The sequence below is a fragment of the Homo sapiens genome, chromosome 5 (assembly GCF_000001405.40).
Source record: "Homo sapiens chromosome 5, GRCh38.p14 Primary Assembly".
NCBI classification, from domain to species: Eukaryota; Metazoa; Chordata; class Mammalia; order Primates; family Hominidae; genus Homo; species Homo sapiens.
Genome location: NC_000005.10, coordinates 80,440,396 through 80,462,950, shown reverse-complemented (window position 1 = coordinate 80,462,950; position 22,555 = coordinate 80,440,396). Strand labels below are relative to the sequence as shown.

Sequence of the window (22,555 nt, the reverse complement as noted above, 5' to 3'; positions counted from 1 at the left end):
CATCAGCATGACCTGGATGTGAGACATGGAGTCAAAGGAGATCATTTCAGAGGTATAAGATTTGACTGCCCTGCTGGATTTCAGACTTGCATGGGGCCTGTAGCCCCTTCAGTTTGGCCAATTTCTCACATTTGGAACGGGTGTATTTACCCAACGCCTGTACCCCAAATGTATCTAGGAAGTAACTAACTTGCTCTTGATTTTACAAGCTCATAGGCAGAAGGGACTTGCCTTGTCTCAGATGAGACTTTGGACTTGGACTTTTGGGTTAATGCTGGAATGTGTTAAGACTTTGGGAGACTGTTGCAAAGGCATGTTTGTGTCTTGAAATGTGAGGACGTGAGATTTGGGAGGGGCCAGGGGAGGAATGATATAGTTAGGCTTTGTGTCCCCACCCAAATCTCATTTTGAATTGTAATCCCCATAATCCCTATAATCCCTGCATGTCAAGGGAGAGACCAGGTGGAGGTAAATGGATCATGGGGGCAGTTTCCCCCATGCTGTTCTAATGATAGCAAGTGAGTTCTCACAAGATCTGATGGTTTTATAAGGGGCTCTTCCCCCTTAACTCAGCACTTCTCCTTCCTGCTGCCTTGTGAAGAAGGTGCCTTGCTTCCCCTTCACCTTCCACCATGACTGTATAAGTTTCCTGAAGCCTCCCCAGCCACGCTGAACTGTGAGTCAATTAAACCTCTGTCTTTTATAAATTACCCAGTCTCAGGCAGTTCTTTATAGCAGTGTGAAAATGGACTCATACACTTAGAAAGCCACATATTACCATAATTGATTTAAAAATAATTAGAAAATCCAAATGTATGGACAGAATTGTGTTTCCCCAGAATTCGTATGTTGAAGCCCTAACCCTGAAATGTAACTGTATTTGGAGTTGGGCCTTTAAGGAGTTAATTAAAGCTAAATGAAGTCATAAAGGTGAGGCCTTAATCTGAAAGGACTGGTGTTTTTTTTTTGTTTTGTTTTGTTTTTTGAGACAGTCTCTCTCACCCAGGCTGGAGTGCAATGGTGCAATCTCAGCTCACTGCAACCTCCACCTCCTGGGTTCACACCATTCTCTTGACTCAGCCTCCCGAGTAGCTGGGATTACAGGCGCCCGCCACCACGCCTGACCAACTTTTTGTATTTTTAGTAGAGATGAGGTTTCACCATGTTGGCCAGGCTCAAACTCCTGACCTCAAATGATCCACCTGCCTCAGCCTCCCTAAGAGCTGGGATTACAGGTGTGACCCACCACACCCAGCCTAGGACTGGTGTTCTTAGAAGAAGAAGAAGAGATACTGGAGCTCTCTCTGAGAGTCACACAGAGAAAAGGCCACAAGCCAAGGAGACAAGCCTTACCAGAAACCAACCCTGTTGGCACCTTGATCTTGGACTTCTAGCCTCTAGAATTGTGAGAAAATACATTTATGCTTTTTACGCTACTCAATCTGTTGTATTTTGTTATGGCAGCCCAAACTGATTAAGATGAAGTAATCACAAAAAGAACTGAAAATATTCATAATTAAAAGAGTAGACATAATTATTTGCAGTGACTGGATCTTATTTGGATACTGATTTGAACAAATATTTTAAGAAGTGAGACAATGGGGGTAATGTGACTGACTACTGATTGGATATACAGGAATTATTGATAAAATATTTATGTGTGATAATACAGGTGTCCCTTATCTGAAGCGCATAGGGCCAGAAGTGTTTCAGATTTCAGACTTTTTTTGGATTTTGGAATATTTGCATTATATACTTAGCAGCTGAGCATCTGAAATTGAAAGGTGAAATCTGAAATGCTCTAATGAGCACTTCTATAGAGTGTCATGTCGGCGCTCAAAGAGTTTAGGATTTTGAAGCATTTCAGATTTCAGATTTTTGGATTTGGAATGCCTAATCTGTAGTTTTGTGGTTATGTTTCTAAAAAAATACTTTTTCTTTTAAAAATATAGTATTTGTGAATGAAATGATATAGTAAAAATAATACAATGAGAGGAGAGTAGAAGGAGTATGGATAAAGTAGGATTGGCTATAAATTGATAATAGTCAAAGGTGGGTGATGATTTCATTAATGTTTATCATATTATCCTTTTTTGCTTTTATACATGCTTGACTTTTTCACAGTAAAAGTGAAAATGTTTACAATGATAATAAAATAGTATGGAATCGGTACAGAGTTAAGCAAACTGACTAAAACAAAACAAAAGCTAAGAACATAGCTCAGAAATGGATTCTTGTGCAAATAAAACATGCTATGTGACAGAGATAGCATTAACAATTACCAGGGCAAAGGGAAAATTCAATATCTGATGCTGGATCAACTCCTATTCAAATGACAAAAAAAGTCACTGGATTTCTCTACCTCACACAGCACATAAAATTAAATTCCAGATAAATTAGGGACTTAAGTGTGAAAGGCAAAACTTTAAATCTCGAAGACAACATAGGAGAATATCTTTCGAAACTGTATGATAGATTTCTTAAATAAAAAACATTAGCCATAAGAGTCATAAATTATACTGTATTAAAATGAGAACTTCTATTTAAAAGACACTAAAAACGGGAGAGGAGGAATATAAAATACATAAAATTATGTAACTACAAGTCAGTCAGAAAAAGACGCACAATCCAATAGAAAAAAGCGCAAAAGATATGGGCAGACATTTCACAGAAGAGGCAACATGCATGTCCAATAAATATGTAATAGGATGCTCTGCTTATTAATTAGGGATATGCTAATTATGACTATATTCAGAGATACCTACAGGATTGACACAAATTAAGCAGTCTGATAATATCATGTTTGGAGAAAATGTAGACCAATCATAAATTTTATATATTCATGGTAAAGTAAATCGGTACAACCAATTTGGAAAGCAACTTAGCAATACTTTGTAAAGTGAACATTTACTAATCTATCAGCCCATAAATTCCACTCTTGCATATATATTTTACAGAAACTCTAGAATATATTCTTAGAATAGATACAACCCAGAAGTTCATGATCAGGAGATGAATACATTGTCATACATTCACAAAATATTTAATAGCGTTTAAAATGAATAAGCTATAGTTGTAAGAAACAACATGCATAAAGTTTAGAAACTCATGTTGTATGAAAATAGGGAGTTCCATATAACTATGTGAAGAATGATTTCACTTTTATTTATCTCCTAAATAAGCATAAACAATATGTTGTTTAGGCAGATGTATATACAAAGTAAAAAACAAGCAAGAGAATGATAAACACCATATTCAGTCTACTCACTAATTCCTGGGGAGACGCAGAAGAGAGAGATAAGTCTTCTACTTCTTGTGCTGGTTGATGATTTCATGTAAGTTTGTGGTACTGTGCTTTATAACTTACATATGTTCTTGTGTAAATATCAAATATATTTTTCAAAGGTTAGGAAAAATAACTCTACATTAAAACACCATTAAAAATGAAATTCATACCTTCAACTATGCTGGACTTAGCAAGAAATCCTGAAGATGTTTTTAGAGCTCCATTGAATACCACAAAACTTGCACCTGTCACTGATCAAGAAATACAACAATTATTTGTTTTAAACTGCTCATTTTTATGTTACACATTTGTTAAATGCAGAATGTGGATATGCATATAAGTACTCAATAAATGTTATACCCACACAACTTAAACTAGAAAACTAATTAAAAAGACAAAAAAAAGAGATAAAATATTACATTAAAATAATTTAATGCGGCTGGGCGCGGTGGCTCATGCCTGTAATCCCAGCACTTTGGGAGGCCGAAAAGGGCAGATCACCTGAGGTCAAGAGTTTGAGACTAGCCTGGCCAACATGGTGAAACCTCGTCTCTACTAAAAATACAAAAATTAGCCAGGTGTGGTGGCAGGCGCCTATAATCCTGGCCACTCAGGAGGCTGAGGCAGAATTGCTGGAACTCAGGAGGTGGAGGTTCCAGTGAGCCAAGATCGCGCCACTGCACTCCAGCCTGGGCGACAGAGCGAGATTCTGTCTCAAATAAGTAAATAATAAAATAATTTAATGTTTTTATTAATAATTGATGGAGTATTGTACTGTTTTAAATGTTTGTGCCTATATTAGTGAGGGTGTAGGAAATCAAACATTCACTACTGGTGACACCACAAATCAGAACAGTTTTTATGGAGCCCTAACTTGGCATTTTTCTATTAAAATTACAAGTAAATGTATCCTATGACACACCAATTCCACTTTTGGGAATTTATCTTACAGATAGGTTCAAATGTGTACAAAACGGCATGTATACAAAACTATTCACTGTAGCATTTTTATAAACAGCCCCTAAGGATTGGTAACAAATTATGCCCATCAATAAGGGACAGTTAAATGATGTACAACATATAAAATGTAAAGTTCTGTAGAATATAAAAGCTCCTTATACACAAACATAGAATAATCTCCAAAGTGTGTTAACAACAACAAAAAAAACAAGGTATAGAATGGAGCAAATATTATGACTTGTCTATAAAAGTGGAAGAAAGAGGTAGATATGTGTGTGTGTTTCTTGAATATATATTAAAGCAAAAATGTCTCTGAAAGGATATATAAGAACTGATAACATTGGTTTGGTTGCCTGTAGGGAGAGTAAGAGGATGGCTGGGTGGTCAAGGGAGGAAAGGAGATTTTTCACTATAAATATTAATAACTTTTTAATTTTACCACATAAAAATATACCTATTCAACAAATAAATATTAAAAATTGTTAAATTTTAGTGGCAAAAATGCCAATATCATGTTAAGTGATAAAGTATAATATAAAAGTGTAAATATCCAGTATAAAATCATCTATTTAACATATACATTAATATAAGAAGGAAATACAGTAAAATGTCAATAGTGACCATATCTTGGCACTTTTCCCTTTTACCACCTTTTTTTTTTTTTTTTTTTTTAGACGTAGTCTCGCTCTGTTTCTCTGTCGCTCAGGCGGGAGTGCAGTGGCACGATCTGGGCTCACTGCAAGCTCCGCCTCCCGGGTTCACGCCATTCTCCCGCCTCAGCCTCCCAAGTAGCTGGGACTACAGGCGCCCGCCACCACACCCGGCTAATTTTTTGTATTTTTAATAGAGACGGGGTTTCACCATATTAGCCAGTATGGTCTCAATTCTTGACCTTGTGATCCGCTCACCTCAGCCTCCCAAAGTTCTGGGATTACAGGCGTGAGCCACTGTGCCTGGCCTCTTTTACTACTTTTCAAAATGTATTTTCCAAGCTTACTACAAATAAGTATATATTACTTTTATAAGCAGAGGAAAAAATTTTATTGGCAGCCAGAATGTTGGACTATTTTAAGTATGGTATCCTATAATAATATATTAATTTTATGAAATGCTTCCATTTAACTTTCAATTTGTTAGGCCTTCTACTGCAAGGGTTTGGTAATCATAGCAATCACTGAAGCCATTCAGCCAGAGCTGAGAGTAATGTCATTCATAGATGCTGTTTGTTACGTTTTATAAATCAATCTTATCCTTATCACCCTGTGCTCCACCAACTAAGAGGAGTTGGAGCAGAGGGTGAACAAATGTGAAAAGAAATACCTTATTTCAGAAAGAAATTACTCAAAGAAAGACTCTCACCCTACGGGATATACTAAACCTAAAGATGTCAAAAGGAAAACAGTCTTCCAAGTCTGTAAGCCTAAAGTAGCCCAAGAGAAAAACAAAAATTAGAAGCAATTTTAAAATCTGTTGTGTAGCTGAAATTTCAAAACATATTGTTTTATCACCAACAATTCAGCAAATAAGTAAATATACATATATTTCCCCTTTGAAAGGAATTCTATTAATTGAGGTGGTTTTGTAAATTAGCACTAGGAACCAAGATGCTCACCTTTTCTAGGATGGCCAGTGGCACTGTTGGCCTGTGTTTCATAAATTCCATCATTCTGTATACAGACTAGATGAGAATCTGCTTCTGTACTGAAACTTGCTCCAATGCTAATGACATGCTCATTGGAAGAATTTAGTACTTTCATTACCTGGAAAAAAACAAAAACAACAACATTTATTTAGAAACACTTTTAATATTATATGCCTATTCTAAGAGCCACGTTTCTGGCCAGCTTCATAATTATCAAGCTTCGGTCTGGACAGCTCCCTGGGAATGTGATGGAAACAAATGTTTTAAAATAAAAGCACTTCAGTTGAACAGTAATCACCTCAATAAAACAGTACGAAAAAAAAGAAATATGATCAAACAGATTATTTACAGTAAACAAATTCTATCATTTCAAAAACAATGTTTGTTGCCATAATACATTAGATAGTCTAATTCAAAACAAAAAATTTAATGTGACACAATTCTAAGGGAACTCTAATGTTCAATAATTGTCATTTGAATAAAACAATTATACTTACATCACTGTACTTTTTCCGTGGTATTTTTATGCAGCTTTTTCCCATTTCCATATGAATCAACAGTTGATCTATATTATGCAAGGTATACTGGTAATTTCGAAGGTCCTACATAGAATAATTGCATTACCATAAACTACTAACCATGAGTATTTTTCTATCCATTAAATCCTTCTTTAAGAAATCCTTCTCCACAGCAGTAATAAAGAATATCATTCTCAGGAAAAACTTTGTAGTATTTAGGGTAACTTTCTAGTTACAGAACTTCCAAAATAGAAAAGGTCTTCAAACTAGGCATGGATAAATAAAAGTGAGTCCACTGAAACATTTTTCTATGGTAACAGGGAAACACAAAATTACAAAAAGTATAGGTGGAAGGGAACTTTAGATATCATCTAATCCAACACTTCCTATTATAAATGAGAAAACTAAGGCCATAATTTGCTCAAAATCACAAGACTGACTGACTTTACTAATACATTTACAAAAGTTTCAACAACTTTAAGAGGTCTGTATAGAGTTCTTACATTACCTAAATATCCAAGAACTGCAGGAGAATGAATCAAAAGGCACTTAGAATCAGGTACACGTACATGAGGAGATAGTACGTTCTAAAAAGCAATTCGTCAAAAACTGAGCACTAATGTTAAAATAATTAGGATTTATTGTAAATGAATGGTCATTATACCAAATATGGCAAATTAAAGTAGGAAAATATAAATGTATAAACTTTGCTAAATACAGTTTTAAAGTAACAGTATAAAAATACCTAATAAAATAGTTCAATTACTCACAACAAGTAAGTTCATAATAGTGTGTCCTATTTCTCCAAAAAGAGGTTTTCGGCCTCTGATGCTTGTTAGAGGAGCAGGATATGCTATACATAAGAAAGGAAAACTGGTTACTATCAACAAAAAAAACCCCAAATTATTGAATTTATTACCTTCAACTCTCATTTTACAAACAAACATTATGTATAAATATCACTCAATCAGTTCTTAGGGGAAAGTGAGAGATAATTTTTTTTTTGTTTTTGAGACAAGGTCTCACTCTGTTGCCCAGGCTGGAGTGCAGCGGTGCAATCTCGACTCATTGCAACCTCCACTTCCTGGGTTCAAGTAATTCTCCTGCCTCAGCCTCCCAAGTAGCTGGGATTATAGGCATGTGCCACAACACCTGGCTAATTTTTGTATTTTTAGTAGAGACAGGGTTTCACCATGTTGACCAGGCTGATCTCAAACTTCTGACCTCAGGTGATCCACCCACCTCGGCCTCCCAAAGTGCTGGGATTACAGGCATGAGCCACCACACCCAGCCAAGAGACAATATTAACACTTACTGTGTATCTATGTATCTACTAGATGCTACATTGAACTGGGAACTATACATACATTATCTTATTTAAATTCAACAACCTAATGGAGTGTGTCTATACTATTTCATAAATGAGAAAGTTGAGACACAGAAATTAATCAACTTGCTCCTAGTGACTAATAATTGGTGAAACAGATTTGAAATTAGGCTTGTCTGATTCGAGAGTATTTCATCTTTTCATTATACATCTTGTTTCCACAAAATTATAGGGGGTGGAAAATTATGATAATTGGTTAGAACGATATAGGTTTCTGATAATTTAAAGAGAAATACAAAGAACTAAAGACTTTTAAGGCATTTATAACTAATATTCAATTGTGCTAATTTATGAATGGTAGTAAACTTTTAAAGTTCTTGGTTCAGCATGATAAAAGAAATATACTGGGGCTGGCCGTGGTGGCTCACGCCTGTCATCCCAGCACTTTGGGAGGCCAAGGCGGGTAGATGATGAGGTCAGGAGATCGAGACCATCCTGGCTAACATGGTGAAACCCTGTCTCTACTAAAAATACAAAAACAAAATTAGCCGGGCGTGGTGGCGGGCACCTGTAGTCCCAGCTACTTGGGAGGCTGAGGCAGGAGAATGGCGTGAACCCGGGAGGCGAAGCTTGCAGTGAGCCGAGATCGCGCCACTGCACTCCAGCCTGGGCGACAGAGTGAGACTCCGTCTCAAAAAAAAAAAAAAAGGAATATACAGATAGAGTCAGGGAAACCAATGCACAAAAAGGGAAGGGACATGAGGTCGGCCACCTAACTATGTTCTTTCTTTAGGGCACCATAAATTCTGGACACCAAAAAGGAAAAGAGACCTTACTGGTAACGCAGCAGGCACTCTGAAGAAAAGGAAGGCAAGACTATTTCTATAGTGATAAGACACAGACACATTTGTAACCTTCAGTTCTCAAGTTAGGTCTTAAGCAAACTAATCTCTCTAATGTCTATTATACAAATATACTTCCTTAAAATTCTAAAGAAACACCACATACCCAACATTAGCTGCTTTAAAGACTTAAGTCAAAGTAGTCATTTTCTTGCTAGTACAAACATATTTTGTAATTCTAAAAAGGCAACTAAGTTATTTGAAAGACAGAGGGTCTAGATTTGAAAAAAATACAAGATATTAGTGTGAAAAGACATAAAAACGATAAAGGAAATGATTAACTGCTAGCTTTTTGCCTTATATGAATGAGGGGGCAACCTTTGCAATATGAAGAGGTAGTTTTGTTTAAAACACTATTCTCAACAGGTTATGGCTTAGAATGACATACTATCTGAGTTACAAAGGGACCTCATAAATCATCTATTTGAACATTTAATGGTATTCAAAACCAGTGATCTCAACATAAAACCACAGATATTTTCAAAAGCATTTAAAAATTACTAATTTGAGACAGTTACTTTTAGTCTTTATTCTTGGGACTTTAACTTTCACATTAGCTTTTTCAAATGTACATTACCTCTGTAACAAAATACACACACAGACACACACACAGTTCACATCTAAAAAGACATGGGCACCAACAATGTCAAAGTGCCAGTCTATGTAAAATCTAGCAGAACAGAAAGAATTCAGAAAACAGCTGAGGTGAATTAACTTCTATGTATAACTGACAATTTCCCCTCATTACCACTAAATAGCTTATCATAGCTTTGCAGTTTCAGTCCCCGTGATTTATGATAAGCCCTTCGTATTGCTCCATGATTCTCCAACCTTCAGTGTGAGAAAACTTACTATCTAGAAGTACTACTGGCCAAAATACTGGCCATACTTACATGTTCCATAATAATTTGATTAGCTAGTTTATTCCCCTAATCTTCTATTTAAAAAAGCATTCAAATATTAAATTAGAGGCAAAATACTGGGCTGCATTGATGAAACATTTGGCTTAAAGTGAAATTTCTTAAGCTCTTTGTTTCACACAGTACAAAACCTGAGATGCAAATTAAATTTTGTTACTTTTCCCACAAGTTAATAGCATCACACATGTAAATCCTAAATGGTAAAGAACCCCCATCCACAAAATCACAGTTTAATAAAATTTCCAAATAGATTCTCTCTTTCTCTCAATTTGTCTATTCTGAAATAGTAATCACCACTTTTATAGCTTCTCAACATTTAATTTTCCTCCAAGAAAATCCCTACCAAATTATATTAGAATCAAATGTCTAAAAAGTTCATTAGACGTGATATACTTCAAATGCAATAAATATATTATTTCTTGAAAAAAGTCAGATAAAAGATACAGTGGGAATTCAAAAAAGTTTAACACTAGAAATGATTCTAACTCAGAAATAAGCATATATATAAACATCACAGCAGCTTTAGAATCACCAGTTGTGTCAAGGGTAGATAAGTAAATACACACACGTACATACACATGAATGATACAGGCTCTATCACCTTTGAGAGACAAACATCAGAATATAAAAATAAGAATCATCAAGCTTAGAAAAATAACCACAATTTTTAAGTACTTCCTTCCCTAAAAATAGTTAGCTTTTAATTATAGTGAGTAACTGAAAACAATAGCACTGCTAACCCAAAAATCCTTTATGTCTGGCTTTATGATATAGAAAAATTGAGAGACGCAACGATTTATCTTCTTAATATGCAGGCAACATAACAAACTCCCAATAGTATATGCTTTTAAGAAAATTTTAGCAAAAGTAATTAACACATATCGAACATCCCAAATCTAAAAACCTGAAATCCAAAATGCTCTGAAATCTGTAACTTTTTTTTTTTTTTTTTTTTTTTTTTTGAGACGTAGTCTTGCTCTGTCACCCTGGCTGGAATGCAGAGGCATGATCTTAGCTCACTGCAAATCTGCCTCCTGGGTTCAGGTGATTCTCCTGCCTCAGCCTCCTGAGTAGCTGCAATTACAGGCGCCTGCCACCTCACCCAGCTAATTTTTGTATTTTTAGTAGAGACAGGGTTTCACCATGTTGGCCAGGCTGGTCTCGAACTCCTGACCTCATGTGATCTGCCCGCCTTGGCCTCCCAAAGTGCTGGGAGTACAGGCGTGAGCCACCATGCCCGGTCTATAACTTTTTCAAATGCCAACGTGATGCTCAAAAGAAATGCTCACTGGAGCATTTCAGATTTTGAATTTGGGATGCTCAACTGGTATGTACTCTGTGAATATTCCAAAATCTGAAAAAGTCCAAAATCCAAAAAACTGATCCAATACATTTCAGATATGGCATACTCAACCTGCACTGTGAAAGTTTTCTGTTTTGTTCTGAAATTTAAGAAGAAAAGTTTTAGGTAATAAAAGAACTTATGAACATCTAGAAACTTGAAGACATACCACAGTTATCTAGACCAACCTGGTAGTAGAAGAGGGTTGTCTTAGAACTTTAAAAGCATAGCAAAACAAAAGTAGTTCCATTAATCCATTAAAATTGATTTTAATGATTCCCTGAAAGTCTTTACATTCAGTATATTTGAAAATATGCAATTTAACTTATTACTCTAAAACTTACCTTTATATTCTGCACCCAATCTCAACATTAAACGCATAGGAAAAACCTTTGCCCAGGGAATCTCAAGCTTCTGGATAAGAATTCCACAAAGAAAAGGATTACTTGGTAATGAGAGATCATCAAGTTTCTGAAAAGTAGGTGTAATAAACAGGAATCCTCCGTGATCCTTGCTACTGAGAAAACTCTCAGTAAAGGTAATATTGTCCAAGTTTTCTATGTATTTTCCTGCAAATAAAATCATTAGTAAAAAGATTTTAAGTTGTTTTGTTATTGTTTTGAAGAAATGTTCTTAGTTTGTCCAAAATCCAAAAAACTGATCCAATACATATAAACTGTCCCAATATAAACTGTCTGAAGTTAAGACACTATAGATTTTTTTTCTTATTTCTGTTCTTGCAAAAGCATCTATTAAATACCTTCTGTACACAAAGCTCCCAGTTATTCCTAGATATTGGGGATTATGAACAAAAATTTGAAAATGTTTCCAACCTTCCAATTTTTCTCCTTACGGCATGGTCAAGTGAAAAATTATCAAATCTCCTAGTCTTGTACAGACAGTAAGGAAATTACATAGATACACTGAAAAATCAAGGAGGCAGGCCAGGCACAGTGGCTCATGCCTGTAATCCCAGCACTTTGGGAGACTGAGGCGGGCGGATCACTTGAGGTCAGAAGTTCTAGACCAGCCTGGCCAGCATGGTGAAACCTTGCCTCTACTAAAAATACAAAAATTAGCTGGGCATGATGGCATGTGCCTGTAATCCCAACTACCTGAGAGGCAGAGGCAGAAGAATCGCTTGAACCCGGGAAGCAGAGGTTGCAGTGAACCAAGATTGTGCCACTGCACTCCAGCCGGGGTGGAGACACTGTCTCAAAAAAAAAAAAAAAAAAAAAATGGATATAAGGATATATTTCCATTTTTAAAATACAAAAATCTGCATAGACACTAATCACATAAAATGCTAGTTTTAAGGAGACAAAATAATTATTAAGCTATTTTCAGAAATCAGCAATCTCTTCACAGAAATAAATCTTTAGTATAGCTAGCACAGCCAAAACCATAAATGCCTTTAACTAATTTATCCATTCCCCAGTCTGAACAGTTCAAAATAAAATGCCATACCTTTTAGAGCATCCTTATATATGGTGATAAATAGTCTGAAGATGTCCTTAGGAATAGTATCTTCATTTGGCAAACATAACAATAGAATAATAATTTCTGCCTGTCCCAAGCCATGCAATCCATTGGTTGAAAAGTACCAATATTTGTCTGAGGAATCTTAGATGATAAAAGAATATAACTATTAATGTCAACTTCTATTAGTCAAAAAACTAAGAACAATTGTTTTTGCATTTAACATAACTTTTCAAATTCCTTGTGTTCCCAAAGTTCTCCTTATGAAAACCTTAAATTGAATTGTATAAGATTTATATAAAGTAAGAAAAAGGATTATCATAGGGAGCCAATTAATAAATAACACTAAAATAAAAGATGCACTAAATGCTGAAATGTAGTGGATAAGAATTTAGTTTCAAATAGAATGAAAAGCTGACAGATACATTATGGAGTAGTGAGGATTATTAATTATTAATGATTACTTCCTTTTTAATTAGGTCACATGTCACTTACTTTAAAACTGTCTTTATTGCTACTAAATCAGGGTTCCTGCTTATTTCAGTTACCAAATTTCAATTTATCTAAAAGCCACAGGAAATATAGTCAATTGTATCATGAGTATCAAAATACAGCTCAGTTATATAAGCCCATGACCTTAACCTAAGATTGACAGGGATGCTAATAAAAATCTGTAAGCTCATGTTTCAAGTCCTACTGAACATAAATTTGCAAAATTTATTTACAGTCATATGTGGCTGAAAAACCAATATCCAATCCTGCTTATTTTTCACCATGGCCAGTCAAAATCTAACCTGAAGATGTAATTAATTCAGAAATCCTGCTTACCAATTAAGCAAATAAGGATAAATTATTACTTACAAAATATGAATTTGACATTCACGAGTAGATTAGCATTTAGGACAAATGTAACAGGATGAAAGCTTTCACCTTCAAGAAGCAAAATGATCTGCTCATGAGATGGATGTTCTTCTACTACAGGCACTAAATGATGAAAGTAATATATTAATCAGGATAAATATCCTGTTAAATATGCTTACAAATGAAAAAAACAAATTTATAAATCCACCAGTGGCCTGATCAAATTTAAAAACAGAAGCAAACATGTTTCATAAAATCAACACCCCAGACAACTGTTATATACTAATTTTTACCTCTTTCCATGTAAAGTTACTAATACTGTAATGCATATATTACATATAGTATATTTATACTGTTGATTAAACAGCAAATGTATATAATTTTAGCACCTTCAAAGTTTGAAGACAAACGTTTTTATAAAGTAGATTCCAGTTTGGTAAGCACTCCATTTATAATTTTTGATATTTACAAGTCTATGAAAGTAGTCTAGAGCCACGTTATATATGCTGCTTGTTACCACATGCCTATATCAGCTACTTGCTACCATATGCCTATATCAGTGACCAGGTAGCAAAAAAAAAAAGATCTTGACAATCAATAGAAAGATATGCATGGCATACAAAGAATAGGGCTTACTATATTTTTGCCACTACAGCTAGGTTCATGTAATGGCTCCCACTGACAGAACAGAAATCCAAAGCTTCATTCCTCTACATTATCACGCAGAGAACCGCCATTTCATATTGCAGAATGTGACATAATGCCTGGAGTGACAAGTGTCTATCCTAGAAACCACTCTGGGGTGGGGGTTAGCCATAGAATCTCCTGCTTGAAAAGGACCTTAGAAATCATCTAGGTTCTATTTACAAAGGAAACTGGGGCCCAAGGAGATTAACACACTACAAGTCATAGATGTAAAAAGTAGCAGACAAGGAACTAAAATTCCTAGCTTTGCCATCCAATCTAATGCTCTTTTCTTTAGGTATCATGCTCCTAAAAAAAAATAGTAATAATACAGTGTCAAAATTCTAATACAATGGAAATATTTCTTCGGGCTAAAAGTCTATGAGCTTCCCTCATAGACTTAATCATTCGAAATTAGTGGGCCAGATGTGATAAATGGATCATAAAAGTTCAAATATTTTTAGAATTTGTTTTTATATAATAAGACTTTCTGTAAACAAAAGTTACCAGCCTTAGTACATATTGCAACCAAACTAAGTTAAAAAAATACATTTCATATGTCACAGATAAAATTCATCAGTATATATTTTTAAATCTTTTTAAATTTAAATAACTGCTTCCCTACCTGATCCCTTTTCTCCAGATGCAACCAGAAGTGGGGGCAAACTGTCCTCATCATTAGGTAGAAGACTAATCTTATTGCAGACATACTTGTTAATATCACACAGTAACCTATAATCTGAAATACTAGCAATAGGTAAATTGCTGTTAACTAAGACACCAGTAGGACTAGATGGTTCTTCAGTTTCTGCAAAAACATCATCATCTAGTGTAAATGAACCAGAAGTAGGTAACCCCTCATTTCCTGTGTTCATAGACAATTTTTCCACTGATGGAACCTGAGAAATAGGACTCTGAATTATCTCATTTCTTGTAATATCTCCTGTCTCATTGTTTGGCTTTTCCACTGTAGTAGAATGGGAATGATCCACTGTGTTTACTGTCTGTAAAATATGTAATAAAAAAAATAACAAATCAGTTCATATTCTCTGTTCAACTATGAAATGAGATCACTATAGCCAAACATATCTTTTTAATAAGAATAAATAAAAACCAAAATGCGTTCAGAAATTCTCTTAAAGTCAAATTTCCCAAGAAACAGTACCATTTTGATTCTTCAAATTCAGGAGCATAAGGAATTAAGAAGCATAAGGTTTTAGTTTTACTGCATGCTCAGGCAGGTATTAATGACTTAATATTAAGATTGGAAAAAATGAGGCAAGAAGAACTTCAAGATCCCATACCATATCACACAGTGAGCAAGCTTAGTTCAATCCAAGTCTCTCCCCTTCTTATGATAGCCAAAAACCCTTGGGTAGGCAGGGAGGAGGGACAAGGCAGGAAGAAGGGGAGGGGAGTGGTTAGGAAGCAGTGCGTTAGCTATATTCCACAAGAGTAACCACCTGGAAAAAACTACCCATAAAGACTATTTCAATAAAGCCTTTTTCTTTTTAGACTGTACAAAGTCAGTATTAAATAAGAACCATTTATGAACTCAATATTTACTAGCCTGTTGAGAATTTTCATTAATACAGATTGACAGTGCGTGCTAGCTAGGAAACATACCCATGGTAATTACGGCTATTTGTAAAGTCTAGCTCATGAACTCTTGACAAACAGCATATGTTTCTACCAAATGTAAATTTCAACAGAGCTGATAAATATTCATCTTTTCTCTCTTTTTTTTTTTTTTTTTTTTTTTTGAGATGGAGTCTCACCCTGTTGTCCAGGCTGCAGTACATTGGCGCAATCCTGGCTCACTGCAACCTCTGCCTCCTGGGTTCAAGTGATTTTCTCCTGCCTCCGTCTCCCCTAGTAGCTGAGACTACAGGCATGCGCCACAATACCTGGCTAATTTTTGTATTTTTTTTAGTAGAGACGGGGTTTTGCCATGTTGGTCAGGCGGTCTTGAACTCCTGACCTCAGATGATCCGCCCACCTCGGCCTCCCAAAGTGCTGGGATTACAGGCATGAGCCACCGCGCCAGGCCTAGTATCCATCTTTTCTAATATACGTACCCAGAATCGACCAGGTGACTGGCACAAAGTGATGCTCAATAAATCTATTTAATGCATAAAACATTACTAATTCATACATTAATAGTTGCTTCTATGAGTATGTGCCACTTTACAATGAGAATTCTTAGTGATCTGGATTCTATATTATATATCTTCTGTTTAACACCTAGCACATTTGTGTAAATGTAAGCATAAATATCACCATCACATACTTTCTTGAATGTTTGAAAATAACTAAATAGATATTAGTATAAATTAAATTACTAAATCTCAGTTACATTTCCCCATACCACTGGTTCTCAAAATGTGGTTCAGAGATCCCTGGGGTCCCCAAGACACTTTCAGGGAATTGGTGAGGTCCTAGAATTTTTTTCATATAATTTAACAAAAAAAATAACATATCAAAACACACAGAATGTAGAACCAGATGTGAGAATATGTTTGTCTTCTATTAAGCCAGACATTAAAGAAATTGGCAAAAATGTAAAATAATGCCATTATTCTCACTAAACTTTTGTTCTGAAAAAAATTTTTCATAAAATATTATTTCTGCTAATGTAATAGCCTTATTTTGTAATTAGTTAATAAATATTTTTTAAATTTCTGAATTTTAATTTTAATATAGTAATTATCAATAGGTACAACCCACGAAATCTATAGCACTTTAGGGTTCTCAATAAGAGTATAAAGGGGTCCTGAAGCTGAAAGTGTGAGAACCAGTCTCTTAAACTGACATTTAAAAAAGGTAAAATCTGGGCCAGGCACGGTGGCTCACTCCTGTAATAACCAGCACTTTGGGAGGCCGAGATGGGCAGATAACTTGAGGTCAGGAGTTTGAGACCAGCCTGGCCAACACGGTGAAACCTCGTCTCTACTAAAAATACAAAAATTAGTCAGGTGTGGTGGTGGATGCCTGTAATCCCAGCTACTCCGGAGGCTGAGGCAGGAGAATCACTTGAATCCGGGAGGCAGAAGTTGCAGTGAGCTGAAATCGCACCACTGCACTCCAGCCTGGGCAACAGAAACTCCATCTCAAAAAAAAAAAAAAAAGGTAAAATCTGCCAGGTGTGGTGATTTATACCAGTAATCTCAATGACTCAGGAGGATGAGATGGGAGGATTACTAAAGATCAGGAGTTTGAGACCAGCCTGGGCAAAATAGTGAGACCACATCTCTAAAAAAAAAAAAAGTAATTAAAAAAACATTTTTTTTAACAGTAAAGTCTAAACCAGGCATGGTGGCTCACTTCTGTGATCCCAGCTACTTGGGAGGCTGAAGTGGAAGCATCACTTGAGCCCAGGAGTTAGAGCCTGCAGTGACTGGTAATTATGCCACTGCACTCCAGCCTGGACAACACAGCAAGACTGTCTCTCTCTTTTTTTTAAAGGGGGTAAAATCTAAAATATATTCACTATATCAATACATCTCTTATTTTAGGAAGCTCAAAGTGTTAAAAAAAAAAAAAAGCACTCTAATAATCACACCAGGAATTATCTACGAAATAAAATTTTGTTTAGTCAATTAAGTTATTCTTTGAATTCCTTACCATAGGCACATCAGGTGAGAGAGGACTAAAGTCTTCAGAACATCTTTTACTTCCAGATGATAATTTTGTTGTATCTGCAACTTCACCATTGGGCAATATACCATCTGCAAACCATACTCTCTTCTGTTCTTTGGAACATAGTCCTAGAATCAATTGAAAAAGTAAAACATTTGAATCTGGTAATATGGCAATGATTTAATGCCAAAAAGATTGTGAAATGTTTTCAAAAGCTTTTTGCTATCCACTGGCAACCCCTGAATTCTCAGGGCTACAAAGATCTAGAGAAATGGCCTTTTGTGATTCCTCTATCCTAAGTGGAGTCTGTTTCTATCTAATTCGTACAAAGGGAGCAGGAGTGGCCTTGGCAATCATATACTATGAAAAGGAATGGACAGGAGATCTATCTAATTCATAGCATATTAGACCAGAGGTGGGTCTGGGAATCACTCTGAAGAGGAGTAGATAGGAGAGATTACACCTTAAAGACAACAGGGAAGGACGATTTAAAGCCTGTATTATTGAGGCTGTTTGTGTGAGTAAGGAGTAGAGACTGAATAAAATTTAGGGACTAAAGTACAGTGATGAAAAGTGCAGTAGACTGAAGCATATATATATATTGCTTATCTATATATTCTTCATATATATATATAAAGAAAAAAAGAAATTTAAAAACCTAAAAAAAGGTAACAGGATCACTTGAAATGTCTTAATATCACAGGACATTTCTTACTACCACAGGACATTTCTTTCTTTTATTTAACAAGAGAAGCATAACATTTTTTGTTCTTATAATGTGGATACTGAATTTTATTCATATGTATCAATATTTCCTTTCAAATTTGAAGGAAATAACTAGATATCAGCATAAACATTTTTCTCTTTTCTTACAAAGCATCCATAGAGGAAGGTTACGAAAATCTCTGCCAGATGATTTTAGAATACTTTAAAAAAAAAAAAAAAGTTCAATGTCTGCTTTCCAGAACATCATAAAGATAACTCTGAAAAAATTTGAATTATATATACATATTTTTTGCAATGTAGGTAGACATATTAAATAAGATATCTTTCTTGTATTTGCAACATTTTTATAATTTAATCATTTGGGTTATCAATAGAATATATACATATTTTCAAACACAAATTATTCATCTTTAGAGCTATAATATACGACCATATAATGCTGAGTCTCCTTATTTCATTATAATAAATGGAAAATAGTTACTGAGTAATAAACTGAAGTCCACAAAAATAGGATTCAAATTTGCCTTTAACTGATACTTATGATTCTTTTCTAGCATGTTACAGACTAATAATTCATATTTAAAGACCTACATGTGCCTTACCCAAGATGCTAATTGATGACAGGTTGTAAAAAAGAACAGACAACTCAAAGATTTAAAAATAGATTTAAAAAATATTATTTCTGTGGTAAAATACACAATTAAAAATAGATTTTAAGGAAAAGGAGATAGAACAATTATTTACCTATTGCCTCTCAAACCCAAGCTCACCCTCTACAGTGGGCTCTTGGATGCCAGGCTGGAAGTCTGGAAAGTGCAATTCCCAGACTCTCTTGTTACTGGCTTTGGTCAGCTTTTTCCAATAGCAGGCACTGGTGGGAGACCATAAGGTGGGAAGAAATAAGAAGGAATTCTTTGTTTCTGGTTCCTGCCAGGATCTTTGCAGCAGCACCACCAACAGATACAGCTGCTAGACTCATGATTTTCAGTACTCCTAACATCAAATCTGGAGGTCTACTTTAGTCATCTGAGTACCAACTATATGAGGCCTCTTCATGGTGCTGTGACCAGGGCTTCTGACTCCCACATCTGAGATCCAAGCACCTCCTGGTGCTCCTGTACTGAGCTCTAGCCTCTCCCCTTTTGTAGCCCCAAACTCCAGTTGTGGTGGTTGCTTCCTGCAGTTACTAATTGCTGCGGCACTTGAGCACAGCCTTTTTGCTCTTCCAGTCTTCCAGCCTGCATGTGTAACCAATTCCCTGTATTAAATCTCTCTTGATACCTAGTCTGGTTTCTCTTTCCTGACTAGACTCTGGCTACATTAGAGAATTTCTATTTCAATAATTTATCTTTAGTCTAAGACACAGTTTTCTTCTATTACCTTCAACACCTGGTTGTTTAAGTGCTGAGACTGGCAAAGTTGCTGGTGAAGGTATACTGGATGTTTGGTTCTCCTGAGGAGGCTGGACAGTAGTACATTCATCAGAATGATTAGACTTAAGATTAGAACCAGTTGGACTCATCATCCTTTCAAATGCCTGAGCTATAAAGGGGAAAACAATAGTGTTAAAATCTCAGATGTTTTTGGAATTTACTTCAAAGTAAATTACAATAAATATTCTATTTTTCAAGTTGTAAGGAGAAAGAAAGAAATGGCTAATCAAGAAAAAGAAGTAGCACTTGGCAAAGATACTGTCTGAGTAGCCAGCACAGGCTCTTTAGTTGGCAGCATGCCACTTTGATAAGCTACCAATAAGTTATTTCAATATTATATCTGGTGTATGTTTGATATCTACAGAGAGTAACCCTTATTACATGACTGTCTCTGTTTTTGCCCTTGTACCCCTAGAGTCTATTTCCAACATAGTTTAGAGAGATTCTTTTAGACATAAATCATATCTCATTATTCCTCTGTTTAAAATCCTTTAATGGCTACCTAAAGTGAAAATTTAAGTTGTTACAATGGCTCACAAGACCCAACATAATTCATCCTTACCTCCTCCACTTTCCCAGTTACCTGTTTGACCTCATCTCTCACTACAATCCCACTCATTCACTATGGCCCAGCTACCCAGACCTCCTTGTTCTTCAAGTAAGTATTCCTCCAGCTTAGAATCTTTGCTCCTATTATTCCCTTGGCCTAGAATGTTCTTCTCGTACTCACACGGCTTCATTATCTCACTTCCTTCAAGACTCTGCTCACATGTCATATTACCATAAAGCCTTACTCTGATCACATTATAAAAAATACCACCTAAGACCAGGCACGGTGGCTCATGCTTGTAATCCCAACACTTTGGGAGGCCAAAGCAGGCAGATCGTTTAAGCTCAGGATTGCTTTGAGACCAGCCTGGGCAACATGGTGAAACCGCATCTCTACCATAAATACAAAAAATTAGCTGGGCGTGGTAGTGTGTGCCTGTGGTCCCAACTACTAGGGAGGCTGAGGTGGGAGGACTGCTTGAGCCTGGGAGGTGGAGGTTGCAGTGAGCTGAGATCACACCACTACACTCCAACTTGAGTGACAGAGTGAGACTCCATCTCAAAAAGAAAAAATTTCCTTTTGCCACTAATCTGTTAACTATCTATCACTCTTACACTTTTTAAATTTTTTAATTTAGGGTATTATCACCATCTGATATCTTTTTGTTTACTATCCATCTCTACATACATTCATAAATTTCATGAGAATATAGCTTCTATTTTGCTCTCTGCTTGAACTTCAGAATGCAGAATAGTGCCTGAATACTGCTGAGTGATTCTTCATCCAAAAAATAAGGAACACTGATAGCTCTCCCTTCAGCATTTCTCCAAACTGATCTGCTATCAATGCTGCCACTGCTAAAACAATCTTCCTCAAGTGCCACTGAATGATGGCACTCATAAAATGGCTTCCATTAACCAAGTGAAATCCAAACACTTTACTCTGGATTTCAAAGTAATTTCTAACTTGCCTCAAATCTACTTATTGATATTCACGTGTGCTTCCTTGAAACTCACATAATCTCAGGACAGCTTTCTCATTATCTACAATCTCTATTCAAATTATCTTTTTCTTCCAATCCTTCATGGCATATGTCTCACAACCCATGAACCGTCTTTCTCTTCTTATTTGATACCATTATTTTAAATGATCACTTCTATTATTTTCAACCCTAAAGCTGGTATTAACTTTTATTTATGCTCTCCTGTGGCATATGAATTAATGACAAATAGCACCATAAATGAAACTATATGCTATAAGACATCAAAATAGAATTTGAACAGATAACTAAATAAGCTCATTCCACAGTATTTTCTTTGATAAACCAAAGCTTGATCTCAGTATTCTACTGAATTTCTTTAATGATCATATCTTCTCCCCTCCTGGACCCTTAGAGTCAAAATATGTCTGAATGTTCACCCAAAAATCTGACCTGTCAACATAAATAACGTTTCAAATCTTCATGGATGTTTAATTTCTTTTTAAGTGGGGGAGATAATTATATGGGAGCTTGCTCTAAAATTTCTGAATTCTAGCAGATTGCCTTGGCTAACAGCACCAGCAGTCATCTTCTAGGCTACTGAAACAGCATAAGAAAAAACAAAACAACTATAAGCACTTAAACTAACCTCTTCATAAACAATGGTGGTAACATGGAAACATAAAAAGATTTACGCTTTGTTATCTTCCAGAGCAGAGGTCAACAGCAGGGAGAAAAGCAGCTTACCTCAGGCTAACAGACTCACATCAGAGCTTTTTGGAGAATTGCTGAAAAAAGTTATCTTCATTCAAAAGAGAAAAACAAATTATTATCAGGTATTCATTCCCCTGGCTAACAGGAAGCAGTGCCTGAGCTAGTGCACAGGTCTGGTCAAAAAAGGCCCAAGTAATATTTGCTAGGAATTAAACTGTCAACGAATCTTTGAAAATGCCAAGTGGTACTCAAAAGAATAAACATGGACTTGGGGAAAAAAACACCACACACACACACACACACACACACACACACACACACACACACACACCTGTGAGAACTCAAAGACCACCAAGAATATTGCTAATAATTGTAGCTAATTAGAGAGCCAAAGAAATAATGGGAAGTGTACATATGCAAAATTCTAAAGTTGAGAAAAGAAAAAAACATGAGACAAAAATGTGCAAATAGTGTGGCAGTCCTATGAATTTATAAAATCATAAATATTACCACCTTATCTTCTACTCTCATTTTAGGTTGTTATTTTCTAAAGGGTGTGAACTATTATCTTGCCCTGTGCTATTAATACATAA

General features: G+C 35.7%; 1 protein-coding gene across 15 annotated transcripts in view; it reads right to left on the bottom strand.

Moving 5' to 3' along the window:
- Nucleotides 1-22,555, bottom strand: part of ZFYVE16 (zinc finger FYVE-type containing 16) — a 75,770-nt gene that overhangs the window by 20,429 nt on the left and 32,786 nt on the right. For 10 of the 15 annotated variants that reach the window (NR_146174.2, XM_017010092.3, XM_005248632.5 and 7 more), the window contains 10 exons: nucleotides 19,667-19,828; nucleotides 17,546-17,688; nucleotides 14,547-14,925; nucleotides 13,238-13,360; nucleotides 12,365-12,520; nucleotides 11,242-11,466; nucleotides 7,177-7,259; nucleotides 6,386-6,490; nucleotides 5,859-6,006; nucleotides 3,457-3,537 (listed from right to left, as the gene is read on the bottom strand). Coding sequence is in view for 11 of the 15 variants with exons in the window: in XM_017010092.3 (XP_016865581.1) it covers nucleotides 3,457-3,537; nucleotides 5,859-6,006; nucleotides 6,386-6,490; nucleotides 7,177-7,259; nucleotides 11,242-11,466; nucleotides 12,365-12,520; nucleotides 13,238-13,360; nucleotides 14,547-14,925; nucleotides 17,546-17,688; nucleotides 19,667-19,828 (1,605 nt within the window). In the remaining 4 variants the exon portion in view is untranslated. The other 5 variants (NR_146172.2, NR_146173.2, XM_047417942.1 and 2 more) reach the window with 4 other exon arrangements.